This window comes from Homo sapiens, chromosome 6 (genome assembly GCF_000001405.40).
Source record: "Homo sapiens chromosome 6, GRCh38.p14 Primary Assembly".
NCBI lineage: Eukaryota > Metazoa > Chordata > Mammalia > Primates > Hominidae > Homo > Homo sapiens.
This window is the reverse complement of record NC_000006.12, coordinates 39,898,422-39,914,720: the sequence shown is the minus strand read 5'-3', so window position 1 is coordinate 39,914,720 and position 16,299 is coordinate 39,898,422. Positions and strand designations below refer to the sequence as shown.

At 52.6% G+C, this 16,299-nt stretch overlaps 2 protein-coding genes across 28 annotated transcripts in view; one reads left to right on the top strand and one right to left on the bottom strand.

The window, feature by feature from the left end:
- The window catches only part of MOCS1 (molybdenum cofactor synthesis 1), a 30,293-nt gene extending 19,742 nt beyond the window's left edge, over nucleotides 1-10,551 (top strand). For 4 of the 9 annotated variants that reach the window (NM_001358533.2, NM_001075098.4, NM_001358534.2 and 1 more), the window contains 7 exons: nucleotides 886-947; nucleotides 1,293-1,404; nucleotides 1,717-1,829; nucleotides 2,347-2,457; nucleotides 4,766-4,886; nucleotides 5,619-5,681; nucleotides 7,604-10,551. In NM_001358533.2, the coding sequence (NP_001345462.1) occupies nucleotides 886-947; nucleotides 1,293-1,404; nucleotides 1,717-1,829; nucleotides 2,347-2,457; nucleotides 4,766-4,886; nucleotides 5,619-5,674 (575 nt within the window). In that variant the 3' untranslated portion in view covers nucleotides 5,675-5,681; nucleotides 7,604-10,551. The remainder of the gene's footprint in view (nucleotides 1-885; nucleotides 948-1,292; nucleotides 1,405-1,716; nucleotides 1,830-2,346; nucleotides 2,458-4,765; nucleotides 4,887-5,618; nucleotides 5,682-7,603) is intronic. The other 5 variants (NM_001358531.2, NM_001358530.2, XM_047418828.1 and 2 more) reach the window with 2 other exon arrangements.
- The window catches only part of DAAM2 (dishevelled associated activator of morphogenesis 2), a 112,494-nt gene continuing 106,046 nt past the window's right edge, over nucleotides 9,852-16,299 (bottom strand). For 18 of the 19 annotated variants that reach the window (XM_047418533.1, XM_047418534.1, XM_047418537.1 and 15 more), the window contains 4 exons: nucleotides 15,784-15,844; nucleotides 14,513-14,644; nucleotides 13,249-13,419; nucleotides 9,852-12,908 (listed from right to left, as the gene is read on the bottom strand). In XM_047418533.1, coding sequence (XP_047274489.1) covers nucleotides 12,684-12,908; nucleotides 13,249-13,419; nucleotides 14,513-14,644; nucleotides 15,784-15,844 — 589 coding nt within the window. In that variant the 3' untranslated portion in view covers nucleotides 9,852-12,683. The remainder of the gene's footprint in view (nucleotides 12,909-13,248; nucleotides 13,420-14,512; nucleotides 14,645-15,783; nucleotides 15,845-16,299) is intronic. The other variant, NM_015345.4, reaches the window with a different exon arrangement.

Sequence of the window (16,299 nt, the reverse complement as noted above, 5' to 3'; positions counted from 1 at the left end):
ATTTTTCCCTTTACCCTCTCACTGAGCAGTCTGAAAATGCTGCAAGGAAACCATGGAGGCCATCTCTAGGCACCCTGTCTCACAGGTGACCACCCAGGCTGTGCAGGCTGGGGGTGCTGGAGGGGGCCAGGATGCAGTAGGTGATCAAGTGATTGGATGCATGAGAGAACTGGGCAGTGAGAAGTCAGCCTGGGGTCACATTGACTGTGGTTAATGATTGTTGAGACAATAATTGCTTACCAGCCCTGGAACAGCACCTGTGCGTAGTAGGTGCTCAGAGAGTATGTGTTGAGTGAATAATTGATGGACTGTTGAGGAAAAAACACTGAAACGGGAGTGGAAAACCTGCATTCTGAAAGATGGAGCCATGGGGCTTTGAGCAGAGCATTGCCTCACTCTGGGTCTTGGTTTCCTCCCGTAGACTACAAGAGGGTTCAACTAGATCCAGGGTCAGCATGCTATGGCCCACAGGCCACATCTAGCCCCCTGCCTGTTTTCATGTAGCCTTTGAGCCAAGAATGCATTTTACAGATAGCATTCAAAATCAGTTAATGATAGGGAACATTAACTATGAACCCCATTTAAGCAAAATATTGTCCCTGCAAAAAGAATCGCATTATTGTATCCCATTTGTAGATCTGTTTTACAAGACACTGTAGTCAGTTATTACTATTACATTTTGAATTTAGCCAACACTTTGTGACATGTACTTACACGGATCCTCAATTTTGCCTCTTGGCTTGCAAAGCCTACGATATTACTCTGGCCTGTTTTAGAAAACGTTTGCCAATCTCCAGACTAGATGGGCTCTGGTGCTTTTCTGTGGGGGTGTGGGGGAAGAGGAGAGAGGACAGAAGTTCCTGGATCCTTGTTTCTCCCTCCCAGGCTTCCACAAGGTCATGGAGGGCATCCACAAGGCCATCGAGCTGGGCTACAACCCTGTGAAGGTGAGGCCGTGCCCCTGCCGTAGATTCCCGACTTCCCTCCACACTGCCCTGGCCTTCCCCTCACCGCCCCTTGGCCCACTTGAGAGCCCTCAGCTCTGGCCAGCATGGCTGAAGTACGTGCACCCTTCCACCTCTTCTCTCCCTGCTGGTCCAGCCCTGCCGACCCTTGAGAGAAACGAGAAAATCAGTGACCCCAAGGAATCCCGTAACTTAGAGAACTGAGTGGGAGAAGCAAGGAATGGGTCCCTGAGTGGAAGGCCTCAGTGAGTGCCAGGCCCCCAAGGGTCATCTCCACAAAAGAATGCAGGGGGCACAGCCCTCATGGTCCCATTGTTCCCCGGCCAGGTGAACTGTGTGGTGATGCGAGGCCTTAACGAGGATGAACTCCTGGACTTTGCGGCCTTGACTGAGGGCCTCCCCCTGGATGTGCGCTTCATAGAGTATATGCCCTTTGATGGTCAGTGACCAGGGATGGGTTGAGGGAGGGAAGAAGGGGTTGGGCCTGCAGGTCGCATAGTGTGGCTCACCCACTGGGTATGGCTGACCTCAGGGGCAGTGAGTCTAGGATTATGATGGGCTGTTGGTGGCTTCTCGGAGCCCGCTGTGGATGTGATTCAATCCACCAGTTTTAGGCAGAGCCCCCGTCCCTCCCTTCCAAGAGGCTGGAGAACTGATTGCTATGCTGTGGCAGGGGATGGACTCAAAGACCCCGGGGCCCCTTCAACTGTGATTCAGAAGCTCCCCTTGCCTTCCCCCATCCCGAATACAGGCAACAAGTGGAACTTCAAGAAGATGGTCAGCTATAAGGAGATGCTAGACACTGTCCGGCAGCAGTGGCCAGAGCTGGAGAAGGTGCCAGAGGAGGAATCCAGCACAGCCAAGGTTAGGGAGCAGGAGGGTGTGGGGCAGGCCTGGAGGAAGGTCGTACCTCCACCCTAGGATGGAGAGCTAGCAGGGAGCTGCACTGTGGTGGGGATGCTGTGATGTGGGATGGTACCATTTAAGCAGGAAGCATCAGTGCTATCACAACCACCTCCCTGTTTCATGGATGAAGATGTGGGCTCGGCTAGGGTGGGGGGCTCAGTAACATGTCAGAGGACACACTCCAGGAAGTGGCAGAGAGGGGTGCTCATCCCGCTTCCACGCAGACTTTTCTAAACATGCTGCCCACAGGTCCCTGCCTTAGCAGCTTTTATCTAGGGCAAGCCAGGCATAGGTCAACCCATGGGTCATCCATCCTACCAGAGTCTTCTATCACCTGAGGGCCTTGGGTGGAGCTTCACGTGGGGTCCTCTGGGAGAGGGTTGAGGAGTGGAGGTTCTGATGTCATGGAGTGAGAAACTGGGCTCAGTAGCCCATCCCCTCCACTGCCCTTTTGCTCCCACTCTCCCCTGCCCAGGCCTTTAAAATCCCTGGCTTCCAAGGCCAGATCAGCTTCATCACATCCATGTCTGAGCATTTCTGTGGGACCTGCAACCGCCTGCGAATCACAGCTGATGGGAACCTCAAGGTGAGCATCCCCTCCTCCACAGGGACCCCTTGCCACCTCTGTGTTCTCATGTCTCCTCCCACCTGTGCTCCCTGATTGGAGAGGAGGCTGGCAGGGCACGGTGTCGGGGGAGGTGGTTGGTGCAATAATGTCAGGTTTGGGGGCATGATGGGAGCAGCAGGTGAGGGTGAACTCATGGCCCCTCTGGAAATGTCACCCTGATTCCTTCCTTCCTTCTGTGGGGCCCTGAAGTAGCTTCTGGTTTATTGGGAGCTCCTTTCCAGCTCTCATGGAGCTGCAGGATCAATGTGCATTTTGCCTGGCCCCCGCCATGGTTAGCCCCTTCCACCAGGCCAGGGGCTCAGCTCTGAAACCAGAAATGGATGTTACTCATATCTAACAAGCATGTCCTGTGCATTCGTCCCTGTGGGGGATGTCGGGACCCCTTCTCGTCAGGGCTATGCAGACTCACAGGCAAGACCAAACAGAGGCAATGTGTGGCAGCACGAGAGTCCTTGCCACACGCGTGGCTAGATAGCCTGTGAGAGTGCAGGGCATCAAGAGCACTACAGACCTCAGCGAGCCTTGAAGAATGGGTGGGGCAGAAGTGGGGAGGGGAGGGTGCATACATAGGGTTCATACTGGTTGGGCGGGCTAGGGCAGATTAAAGTCAGCTATGGGAAGACTACATTGTAGGGGGCTTTGGTTCAGAATGTGTTCTGTGGACAATAGTGTGCTGCGTAAGGTTCCTGAACAGGGGAGACATCCCCCATGTATGTTTTATAAGCCACAGGCTGGGTGTGATGGCAGGAAGACCAATTAGGTGGCCATTCAGTGGTTCTCCAAATATGTTAGAGTGTGAATTGAAGGGAAGGAAGACTCAGAGAGCTTGGTAATGTTCGCGGAAGGAGAGGAGGAAGGCATCAAGGTAGCTGGAAGGCCTTGGGATCTTTTACAATTGTGGGAGGGTGATGATGGTGGGTTGGGTTTAGATGCATGCAGTTTGAATCCAAAAGGAACCATCCAGCAGGTTGCTGAAAAGCTTGGGGGTTTTTCTGGGCTGGAGATACGGAATTGACTTGGACTAGAGGTGGTATCTGTATCTGTGAGGTCTTGGCAGGAAATGGAAGGTGGGATTCTGAAGAGAATGTAATGAAGAAGCTATTTATAACATATAAGATTAAGGGAACCAATAAAGGATATTGAGGTACTTGGGACCAGCAGCAGCAAAGTGCTGTTCCCACTTAGGAAGGGCAAGGGGGAGGCACTGATGTCACTGGGGCCCAGGAAGGGCTGGAGCCTTAGAAGAGAGGCCACCTCATTGGCACTTGAGCTGTGCAGAGAAGCAGCTGCTGCCAGATACATCAAAGCAGGGAGGAAGTAGGGGAGAAATGCCTGAAGATTGTTCTTTCCCTTTACCCATTGATCTCCCAGGCAGGAGCCAGCTGGGGGGCGGGAGGGGAGGGTGGTACCAGGTGAAGTCCACAGGAGGAACCTCTTTGTTGCAGAGAAGGGAACCTGGAGGCTGGTTGGGGAGCGAGGCATGAGGAATAACAGGCACGCTGAAGCAGTTAGACCTATCCTAGATTTCACTGGTATCTTCTCCAGTGGTCTCTGCCTGCAGAAGCTTCTCAGACATTCTTCTTTCTCTGTGGCCACAGTGCCTTGTGCAGAGCTGGCACAGAGTAGATGCTTCATAAGTTTTGGTGGAAGGATGGTAGGTATATTGATTTCTGGGGCTGTCTCATCCATCCCTCTTACAGAAGCTGAGAAGCATTGAGTGAAGTTTGACCTTAAGTTGTCATGCCCAGCAGCCCTCAGCTGAAGCTTCCAAGCAGTGATCACAGACTCAAATAGGTACAGGGCAGTCAGGTGATGTCCACAAGGGACTTGGAGGGGCTGAGGTGAAATGGGATGTGTGTGCCACAACAGGGGTAGGAGACTTCCAGGACACACACAGCTCCAACTGGTTGGGGGCCATTCTCATGGTGATAAAGTGGCCATTCCAGCAAGTGTCTCAGAAGGTAGAGATCTGGATTTTTACATGCTATCTCTGTTGGCATCTACTTAGTTTTTTAAAAATACACTGAGGGAAGTATGACTGTAACTCACATATAGGTATTGGGAAGTCGAATTTTGCCTCTTGCTCTTCTAGCCTCTCTGACCTCCCTACAGCACCTCTGTCTCTCACTGCTAGGGGCCCTGCCATGGGAGGCCTGGGCCCTGGTGCTCCTCCCGGAGGGAGAACCAGGGAAGGAGTTAGCTCCTCAGAGGCCAGGAGGCCAAGGCTCAGGGGTAAGGAAGGCATATTGTCCTCACCCACATGTAGGTCTGCCTCTTTGGAAACTCTGAGGTATCCCTGCGGGATCACCTGCGAGCTGGGGCCTCTGAGCAGGAGCTGCTGAGAATCATTGGGGCTGCTGTGGGCAGGAAGAAGCGGCAGCATGCAGGTAAGTGCAGGGTGGGGAGGGCTGGCCTGGATGGTGAGTGGGCCTTGTCCCTGGGAGGGAGGTGTGGAGTTGTGGGGTGAGATGACCAAGGAACACCTAGGGGGAAGCTGGCGAGAGTCAGCATCATCCCCACTACCACTCACTGCTGTTGGCCCTCTGGACTCAGGGTACAGTGATGCTTCTCCTTCCATGGGGAAAAGTCATAGCAGAGGCTGCACAGGAGAGGGGACCCCAGATTCTCTTGGGCTGTTTTACTAGGTGGGGAGAAGGGGGTGTCATTGCTTCTTTCTCATCCCACACGTGGCCTTCTGTTTAGGGAGGGCAGGGTCCTGATGTCCACAGACTGTTCTTTGGGCTCAGCCTTGAGCGACCTCGCAGTGCACATGTGGGGGCCTTTTGTCATACAGCTGAGTGCATGTGCTCGGGGCTGTCAAGCGCGTTTGTTTCAGTGAACTCTCCTCTCCCCGCCCTGTCCCTCTCCCGCTCCCCTGCTTTCCTCTCCCTCTCCCCTTCCCCTGCTTTCCTCTCCCTCTCCCCCTCCCCCTCCCCTGCTTTCCTCTCCCTCTCCCCCTCCCCCTCCCCTGCTTTCCTCTCCCTCTCCCCTCCCCCTCCCCTGCTTTCCTCTCCCTCTCCCCTTCCCCTGCTTTCCTCTCCCTCTCCCCCTCCCCTGCTTTCCTCTCCCTCTCCCCCTCCCCTGCTTTCCTCTCCCTCCCCATCTTTCCCTCACCCCAGGCATGTTCAGTATTTCCCAGATGAAGAACCGGCCCATGATCCTCATCGGTGGGTGACCCATCAGTACGTAACCACTCACCCTTGTCATTTGGGGATCTCGTGGGGTGGGAGCCGTGCCATAGGCACCCCCAGCTCCTGCATTTCATGCTGATTTCTCATCCTTGTTTTTCTTCTATTCCTCCTTCATCTCTTCTTAACCTTCAAGGTTTTACTGTTTCTTCCCCCACTGTTCATGATCCCCCTTACTATACCTGCCACAGAAATGATCCTTCTGTCTCACCAGACATCAGAGCAGGGGGATGGTCTGCCAGATTTAATGATCACTAAGTTAGTGGCTCCCTGAGAATTGAAATCCTGGTTAAAACAGAGGCCTTTTCCTCGGCTCTAAAATCTCCCATTTGGATAATGTGACAGGTGTCCTCTGTAGTACCCAATGATCCATGCACGGTGTATCTGGACCATGAGCCCCCACGGGTGGATGTGTGGCCAGACGTCTGTGCTGGGCAGATCTTGAGGCAGCAAGTTAATAATGTTACTCACATGTAACATGAGGTAATGATGGCCAAGACCTCAACTTCCCAATTCCTTAACTCTCAGGAACATCTGCATAGGATGTATCATCGTGTGTGTAGGATGCTTCAAACAAAAGCCCCCTGGTTTTAAGTCCTTATGTGGTCTCCTACCCCTGGGGGCTGGGCTGGTCACTGAGGAGCTGTAGGGTGGCTGTTGCCCCTCTGTCACGGTGCCCAGATTATAGCAGGTGAGGCCTTGACCCTTTGCTCGCAGTCAGTTCTGAGCCCCCTGAACTGTGCCACTAGGAAAGAAAAAGCAGGGGGGAGAAAAGATGAGAGGAAAGATCCTTTCTTTAGAGGTTAGAGCAGAGGGAACTCAGTGGCCCAGAGGGGAAGGCAGGCTAGAGACAGCCCAAGGACCATCTTTGCCCACTGGCTGCCCGGGAAAGCAAAGGTAGCTTGCCACTGGGAAGAAGACTCTCATCTCCTCTCCTCCCACCCCCAGCATCCAAGTCCTCTTGTTGGGCCCTGACCCATGCTGAGGCACCTTCATGGCCTTGATGGCATCTCCCCAGAAGGGAGGCTGCCCCTCTGACATTGACATGTCTGGGGCTTAGAGTATGATGCGAAGTGGGAAGCTGGGGGAGCATTTGCCTCATACTTTCAGAGATATTGAGTAACCAGTCTGCTTTCTATACAACCAAGAGTTGCCTAGGACAGGGCCTCTCAGAATTTCATGTGCATGTGAATCACTGGGGATTTTGTCCTTTTGGATTGACTTGGAAGGTCTGGGGTGGGATTCTGCATCTCTTGTGAGTTCTCAGGTGGTGCTGGTGCTGCTGGTGCTGCTGGTCCATAAGCCAACCACCCTTTGAGTAACAAGAGCCTGCACCATTCCCTAGGCCCTCTGCACCATCTGAATTAGCCCGTCAGTTTGTATGTGCTTCTCATGTGCTTCAGGGGACTTGAAAAACATTTAAGTAGATCACAAATTCCCCTTATTATCTTGTCTGTAAACTAAGTGGTTATATTAACTCTTCATGGAGAATGTGAAGATAAAAATAGGTGTAATTGGTAATTTAGAGTGAGACCTAGCTCTAGTTTTAAGAAAATGAAGGGACATTCAGAGGTCATGTGATCCAGGCCTCAACTTGGTGCTGCTTGAGAGAACTTGGGAATTGAGAAGGTTTTCATGTGGAGGGAACCCTGTGCCACGGTGGCACAGCAGTTTCTAGGAGGGCTGTTACCCTGTACATCACTGGGTGAGAAGGGCTGTGAACTTGGACTCTGGGTGCCATCTATCTGTGGATCTTCTACTTTGTCTTGTCCCACTATGCTTTTTGTTCTTCATTCCTCTTTCCCCGGTATGAAAGAGAACTTGAGGTGGGATAGGGAGAGGGTTGGGGAGTAGAGGTGGGAAAAAGAATTGCCTTTTGGACTTAGTGTTTCTTCTCTTTTCTTCTTGCCTTGCAGAGTTATTTTTGATGTTCCCCAATTCCCCACCAGCCAATCCAAGCATTTTCTCCTGGGACCCGCTCCATGTTCAGGGTCTAAGACCCAGAATGAGTTTCTCCAGCCAGGTGGCCACTTTATGGAAAGGATGCAGGGTCCCCCAGACCCCTCCTCTAGCCCAGCAGCGGCTGGGGTCTGGCTCCTTTCAGAGACACTACACTTCCCGTGCAGACTCAGATGCCAACTCAAAGTGCCTTAGCCCAGGTTCCTGGGCTTCTGCTGCCCCCTCAGGACCCCAGCTAACCTCAGAACAACTAACTCATGTGGACTCGGAAGGACGGGCAGCTATGGTAGATGTGGGCAGGAAGCCAGACACAGAGCGGGTGGCTGTGGCTTCAGCCGTGGTCCTCCTGGGACCGGTAGCCTTCAAGCTTGTCCAGCAGAACCAGCTCAAGAAAGGAGATGCCCTAGTGGTGGCCCAGCTGGCTGGAGTCCAGGCAGCCAAGGTGACCAGCCAGCTGATCCCTCTGTGCCACCACGTGGCCCTGAGCCACATCCAGGTGCAGCTGGAGCTGGACAGCACACGCCATGCCGTGAAGATCCAGGCATCTTGCCGGGCTCGGGGCCCCACCGGGGTGGAGATGGAGGCCCTGACCTCTGCTGCAGTGGCCGCCCTCACCCTGTATGACATGTGCAAGGCTGTCAGCAGGGACATCGTGTTGGAGGAGATCAAGCTCATTAGCAAGACTGGTGGTCAGCGGGGGGACTTCCATCGGGCTTAGCACCTGCCCTTCTCACCCATGGCCCACCCAGGCCTGGAGCTGGGATGCAATGTAGGCTGAGGGAAAGACGTCAGGTTCCTTTAATCACAGTCACTGTTTGTTTACCTTGAGCAGTAAACCCGAAGTCAGCCTGCTCTACTACTAACAAACAGGCCTGCTGCTAGATGATCTCTAATGACCAATGGGGCTTCCTTTCTATAGGGAGGATACCAGCAGGCCCTTAAGCCTTCCAGGACACTAAGGTCGTGGGAGCGGGACTGCAACAAGCAATGCCAGATAACTGAGAAATCATGTTCTTTGTGGACTATTTCAGACAACCAGGTTCCGACAGTCCAGCCCAGAACTTTTCCTTCTCATTTTGGGTTTTCTCTTCTCCTGCTTTCCTGGGGAGAGATTAAGCGCTCATTAAGCAGAGGAGCCCACTTTGAGGAGAGCAAAGCACAAGCTTGCCTGAAGAATGGATCCCAACTTCTCCCCGGCAGCTCTGCCTCCCTAAGTCTGTGAAGCCGCAGCCCTGCCCTGTCCTGTCCTGTCCTGACTTCATCTCTCCTTCTGCCCAAGTCTGTGTCCCATCAGACTTGCAGCCTTTCAGCTTAACAGTTGCCCGGTCCTGCTGGCCCCTTTTCCTCTGGCCCCCCTCTTCTGAAACAGGATGTGCACACATGGGCCATAGCCCTAAGGACTCCTGCCAGACCACACAGCCCACACCTGGCCCTGTTCACGGCTGTTCCACCCACCCCTCTTTATTCTGGAGCATATCAGGGAAAGAAAAGTTGATGATAGATTGCCTTCACCCTCACAGCGCACAAATAAAGCTACGATGCCAACTTTGCAGATGCAAGAATGAAGACACTGTGTGGGTAGGGCACTGAGCTGCTGCAGTTTCACAGGGAAGGCTGCACCTATCAATCAATCAATCAATCCTATCCCAAGACACAGTTCCCTGAGGGAAGAAGAGGAGGGACCTGGAAAGGCCTAAGGGTGTACTCTCTGTATAGCCCCGCTATGGGAAAATAAAGTGGAGTAGGGGGCATAGAAATGCACCATCTAAGGGAAATCTTTTGTCAGGTGGTGGCCAGGGGTGTTCAAAGCTCATTGCTTGCATTACCAGCTATTAGAGAGATCAGAGAGGGCAATTAATTAGAGGCTCCTGGTTCTCACATCCCAAACACACACAGTTCTGGCCTGCTGGGCTCTCTAACTTGGATGTCTTTGAGTCCTCAGTGGTGCCCCCTGCCTGCCTCCCCTCTGCCCTATGCCAAGGTGTGCTGGCAAATATTAAACAACCAGCTCTCTGGAAAAGACAATTTGTGATATAAATACTCCCATGTTGAATAATTTCAAGCTACCAGTATGTCAAATGGCTTGCAAAATTTCTGAAAATGTAAACAATTGGTTCTCACAGAGCTGGTACAAGCTGGCTCCAGCACACTCTCAGCCCACCCCAGATCCCCTCATAGGAAGAAGGCACAAGTTTAAAGGCAGACTGGGTAGGGATGGTATGAATTTAATATTTTTTAGTATTACAATATATTCTTATAAAAAAGGTGCAAGTGAAAAAGGACACTGTAGATTATGTCCATTAGCCTCATTTGTCATCTGAGGCAGCTGGTGAGAACAGCCTTGGCGTGAAGGCATCCCTGGTAGAAGTCGGGGGAGATAGATAGTCACAGTTCCCCAGTTGGTGGAAATGGGATGGGAGTAGGGAGAGGCTGGAACAGACCCTTCCCCATTCACCTGGAGAATTTTCTCCTCCCACTGCCCTAAACACTTTATTTCCATCACAGGGGAGAAATGCTGCTGAGAAGGTTGTGTTTGTTAGGTTGATGACGAATTTTACATTGGCCACAAAATTAGCTAGAGAAACTTATCTAAAGGTGGCAGGAGCAGTGGGGAGGGCATGAAGAAAGCAAGACCAAGAAACAACCTATTAAGGACCAGCTCAGCCACCCCGACTGGGCACCAGCCCCTTCTTACTCAGTTGAGTATGAGTCCATGGTCCAAGGCACTGTTGGAGATCTGGCTACAGTGGCATCTAGCACCAGAGCCACTGGCCAGATGTAGAAAATAAATAGAAAAATATCTTTCTTTTAGAGTGAGAAGGCTGAGCTCTGGAACAACGTATTTGTGTCCTCTGTCAACAGTTGAACCAAATTCTGCTTTTCTGAAGATCAAATGTATCTTGAACAGCTTCCATAGTCCTTTTGTTTCCAGGTGCGTATCCAGTCTTCCATGGTGGGTGGGAATGCCAGACACGCTTGTGGAGCCCTCCCCTGTTCCCTGCCCCTGAGGGGGTTAGGTTGACATCAGCCTGGTCAGTTTGGGAGAGGACCTTTAGAGGCCTCACCCACAACCTCCCATCTTCCCCAACACTTGTCTTGCAGTGGGAGCTCTTGGGGCTGCAGATGCATATAGCCAAACTCTCTGCAGCTGTTCTGCCTGGAAGCCTTCATCTTGCCCTCACCTGGGTTCCAGGATGGCCTCTTCACACCTGTGTCAGCCAGGCTTGCACTTGCTCAGATCCCTCCCACCAGAACACACACACACCGCCCGCCCCCTCAAACCAACGCACATGCTGGGCTCACCGACCCTGTGTTTCTTCCCCCCCGCAGCTACTACGGTCCCAGCCCCAGGAGTTGGATGCAAGTGAAAGGCAGAAGATAGGCAGCTGAGAGTAGGCCCAGCTCACCAGTCTCCACTGGCAATAACCCTGAGCCAGGGATTAGGTTGGAAAGTGAGAAACACAGGGAAGGGCAGAAGGGCCAAGAGCTCATTGATGGTAGAGGTTAGGCAGGGCCAGTCTCAAAGAAGATGAAAGGCCAACTCGGAACGTGGTATTGAATAAGAGCCTTGATGGAGTTTTAGAAAAATTTTGTCTAGATACAGCCATCCCATCCACCAAGGCCAGCATGAGATGGACAAAATGGAAGGTGGCAGTGGATGGGAGGACCAGAAGGAACCCCTTGCAAGTTGGGCTGAAGAACCAAATTGGGTACCAGAAATGGGGTGGCCCCCCTCTCAGCCTTCCTCCTTGGCACCTTCAGGTGATGTGCTCCCCAGAGGATATCAGCCTTCCTCCTCCATCCCCATCTCCCCAGTTTCCCTTGCCTGCTCTGCTGTTCGCACCATCTGAACGCCTGAGAGGAGGGGCCACCCTTAGAGACAGCATGTTAATGTAGAGGGCAGCTCTGGCCCTCAGACCTCTCAGGAACCAACTCCCCAACGCCAGTGGACACATGGTTCCAAGTGGCCACCTGCAGGCTGGACAGAGGCTGCTGTGGCTTCTGCCTTGAAGCTAGTGTTAGAGAAGGGGTGGGAGGGCCTGAGCAATTTATATGAAGTAGAGAACTATGGGATGGAGCTAAGCATTCAAGTGCTGCCCTCTGCTGAGGGGCTGTAGGGGACTCCAAGGCAACATTTGAGGTCACTGTCTGGCTTCACAACAATGGCCAGGTGTCCAGGAGATGGGGACATGGGAGATGCCCAAAAGGCATGAGGTGTGGTGATGCATGAGGTCTGTCTTGAGCCCCTCGCCAGATTCATCAAGCACCTGGTAGTGAGCCATAGCTGTGGAAACCCAAGGTGAGTCTTCTAGGACTGTGGATTAGTAGACAGGATGGAGGTGAGGGTAGAGAAGGAAGGGAAAGATACTTAAGACATGCAGGGAGAGGCCAGAGGACTTGTGACATGGGAAACAGACACTGCTACTCTGTCCTGATGGCTTTGGTCCCTGCATCATCCTTCCAACATTGACTGTTCTCTGGAACCTACCAGAGCTGATCTAACTAGAATATATAATGCCTCCTCTGTTCCCATTCAAGAGGAAAGTTTGCCCCCAGGTCAATGTTCTGTTGAGCCTCCCCTTGAGAGAAGGGAGTCTGGATTCCCTCACCAGATTCCCTCTCAGGGGCTCCCTCCATCATTGCTCCCCGTGCTACACAGGAACTCTGGACAAGGCTGTGGACCTCTCCAGTCTAGATCTGGAACTGTTCTGTGCCAGCACATGGGTGCCCATGGTAGGGGATGGGGAGCAGGGCCCCTTCAGCCTGGGGTTACCTGGCCTGAGGCCATCCAAGGCAGCCTCAGAATAATACCTGGGGCCAGGGCACAGAAGGAATCATGTGAAGGGGAGATAAGAGGAGCCCCTTAAGGTAAGCGTGGGGAGACACCTGGTCCAGCCACACACAGCCCCCCATCCCAGGACCCAGCCCAAGGCTCTAAACCAAGCACCAAATGGTTTAAATATCACCACCTCCTCCACTCAGCCCCATTCTCACCAGTCCCTGTCTCCCGGCCTCCTGTGTGGCTAGTTCCCCAGGTCAATAATTTAGCCGGTTTATTGCCCGCTCCCGGGTAACTTCCAGGGCCTGGCTCCCTGATCGCTTGCGGCTGCGCTTGAGCTTGCATAAGTCCTTGTCGAAGACCTCCCCAGAGCGCAGGGCCGACACCAGGTCATCGAACTCTCCTCCCTCCTCCAGCGAGCTGCCTGCAGCCAGGACCTTCCGCTGCCGCTGCCACCGCTCACGTTCCCTCTGCTCCTTCAGCTGCGGGCGGGGGGCCAAAGATAGGAACCCTCTCAGGGAGAGGCGCTGAGGCCAGGGCAGCCCCCCAACCCTGGGCTAACTCCTAGGCCATGGTCATGCTGCCTGCCTGTATCTGTTGGCCCCACTTTCTTCCTGCCTAGGACATACAGGCCCCCAGCTTCACACCACTCTCTTCCCTCAGGCTGGGAAGAAGTTTCTCTCTCCTGGGGCTGACATCCAACCCCTATGGTGTTCCTCAGTTCCTCAGTCTCTGCCCTCCTCCCACACACCCCAGTTTGGGGGTGTTCTCCCCAAGTAGCACCCGTCTCCCCTCAGTCCCAGGCCTGGCACTGCCCCTCACCATGGCTTCCATGCGCGCCCGCCGCTCCTCCTCCTCCTTCCTCCTCCTCATGGCCTCTAGATCCTGCCGGGCCTCTGAGAAGGCCTGCAAGAAGGTATCAAAGATGCCAAAGAATTCGTCTGGCTGCATCTTGCTGTCATGCTCCCCGAAGTGCATCAAGGCCTTGGCGAACTGTCAAGGGACAGAACAGGATTGGTGGAGAGTGCCCTGGAGCATGCTGGGCTCAGCCCCTGAGGTTAGCTGGGTTCTAGCCAGAGCAGAGCCCAGCGCAAGGCTGGGGACTGTTGGCACAGGGGGCAGGGCTGGAAGAGGTGAGAAGACACCCCCATCATCATCAGGATCAGAGACAAGGCTAAGGAGAGGCAGGTAAAGAGTTGGGCTCACTCAGTCCACCTTAGAGCCACCCCTGGGCCTGTAAGGGGTAGGCATGAGGTCAGGGGTATAGACCTTGGGAAGCCCTTCCTGAGGTCAGGAAGAGGCTGGCAGAACTCAGAACTTCAAAGATCCTCTAGTTATGTTAATAACCCCTCTGTGCCTCAGCTTCCTCCACTGTCAAATGGGAATAATAGAATCTACATCATAGTGGTGTTGGGGGGTTAGATGAGTTGGTGGCTATAAAACAGTGGCTATATTTATATAGGCCAGGCACTGTTCTGAGTTACTGAGAGCTACCATTGTTAATTCAACTCACTCAGTATCCTCTAAGAAAGATCTCACTACTCAAAAGTGTGCTTCATGGACTAGCAGCAGATTCACCTCCTGTTAGAAATGCAGAATCTCAGACCCCAGGCCTCCTAAATGAGAATCCATGTTTTAATAAGACCCCCATACATGAGGTCTATGGACACGTTAGTGTGAGAAGCAGATAGAGGCATGGTAATCATGTCCACTGCTGAGCTGTGGTGTCAGATTCTAACCCAGTTCTATAACTTACAGCTGGGCAATCTTGGGCAAGTTACTTAGCATCTCTGATTTTAGCGTTCATATCTGTCAAGTGGGAAATAACCTTTCAACAAACCCATAAGGTAGGTGGTGACAAATCATTAAAACACTTAACATGGTGCCTGATATCTGATAAATGGACCATGATCTTTGCGGTATGTGGTTATCATTGCTTGTCTTGTTAAGAGCGAAGAAACGGTTTTCTCTCAAAGCTCTGTAACTCTGGGTTTGTCCCTCCTGGGCTGTCTGTGGTAGGAATGGGTGAAGGAGCTTGTTTAGATAAGGCTGGGTTGGCAAGCAGTGGGGGTTGGGGCACCCTTACCTTGTCCCTGGCCTCATTTAGCTGGTCCTCCAGCTCGGAGAAGCTGAAGCTGGACACCGTGATGAAGTCGCTCATGACAGGGACAAACTTGTCACTGGGCTCCCGTACCTGGCGCCTCTGATACTCCAGCTCCTGAGGAGGGAGGGTGAAGTGCTGCTTAGACTGGTGCCAAGATGAGAGTCGGGTGCAGGGGTCACCACATCTCCCCTCGTCACTCACAGGACATTGAGCCCTTTGGAAGAGGGAACACCCTGCATCTCAAAGTTCTAAGGATGGCAAAGACTATGAGCTAACATTAGCAGCCAGCCCACCCTGCCATCTTTCTTTCTCTAGAGCACTGAGACCCAACATGTGACCTGGGGCCAGCAGCATCACCTAGGAAATTATGAGAAATACAGACTCTCAGACCCACAGGATCAGAAGCTGCATTTTAACAAGACTCATCTTTACAAGACTCCAGGTGACTCATGCACAAATTAAAGAGACATTTTTCTAAAGCTCCCAGCTGATTCAGAAGCTGCTGGTCCATGTACCGCACTTTGAGTAGCACTTAACAGGACTATAAAATTGTAAATTTGGAAATCATCTTCCCCCACCGTAGTGGCAACAAAACGTTCTTTGTCATCCTTAATCTGTCTCTAAAGTCCATTCTTCCCTTACCCACTGCCTCTCTCCTCAGTGAAGACGGAACGGGTCCCTTCTTCCTAGGTGTGGGGGACAAGACTTAGAGACATCCCCATACTGGGCCAGTCTGGCTCACTTCCCCACTCCTCTACTGGTGTTTTCTGGAAGGCTAGGGCCAGAGATAGTATCAGCCGAGAAGCCATCAGAACGGGAATGGTGGGAACAAAAGACCTGGGTCCTCCACTGGCCCAGGAAACAGGCAGAGAGACATAAGGAAGAACCTTCTGGGTACATCGGTCCCACTGCCACATTGCGTGCTTCCTGCCCCTAGCTGGCAGTCAAGGGATGAGGATTCTTTTTCCCATGCACTTGAATCCAATGTAGGCATGGGTCAGATGTATGGTTCATTCCACTCCACTGCCAAATAGATACCAAGTTGGACAGTAACATGGGTATAGTCTTAGGTAACCCCTTTTAAAAGGCTCAAACTTAAGCCCCAGTAATCCAGTTATCCTTTGGGAGGGCTGACCCTGTGCTAGAGGCTGTACCCATTGTTTTTTGCCCCTGTGTAGGAGCTTAGGGTGCAGTGACGAACAGTGTTTGCTGACAGCAGCCCTCACCCAGGTAGGCACTGACAAGGTACTCACCACCTCCACCGCTCTCAGGCCCCTCCTGAGGTTGCCCACCTCCTTCTCCAGTTCTGCTAGGCTGTAAGGAGACACAGAGGGAAGGGAATGAGGACCATCAACTCCCGCCTTGAGGTGCTAAGGCTGGTTCAGGGAGAGGGCAGAGCCAAGCACAGTGGCCTGGGAGTCGGTGAGCCTGGGTTCCAGCCCTGGTGTGGCCATTGATGTTGGCCCTGACAAAGCACCTCCCCTTCATGCCTCTGTCTGTGCATCAATAAATTAACAAGGTGAAGCCTGCATTCTATAGATCTTTCCAGGTCAGAAATGTCATGCTGCAATATCAGAAGATTTCCAACCTGTGGCCTCTGGCTTAGACCTATTTATTTTTATTACTACCAGGTAATGCTTATAAGCTCTTTATGTGATCCTGCAAGCAATAGCATTCGATACCAGTGAGCCATTTACCACTATGTTTCTAGTTTTCCTGGAGATGACATCTATCAGCCTAGATGTTCGTGTCTGATATCTTGCCTAGCA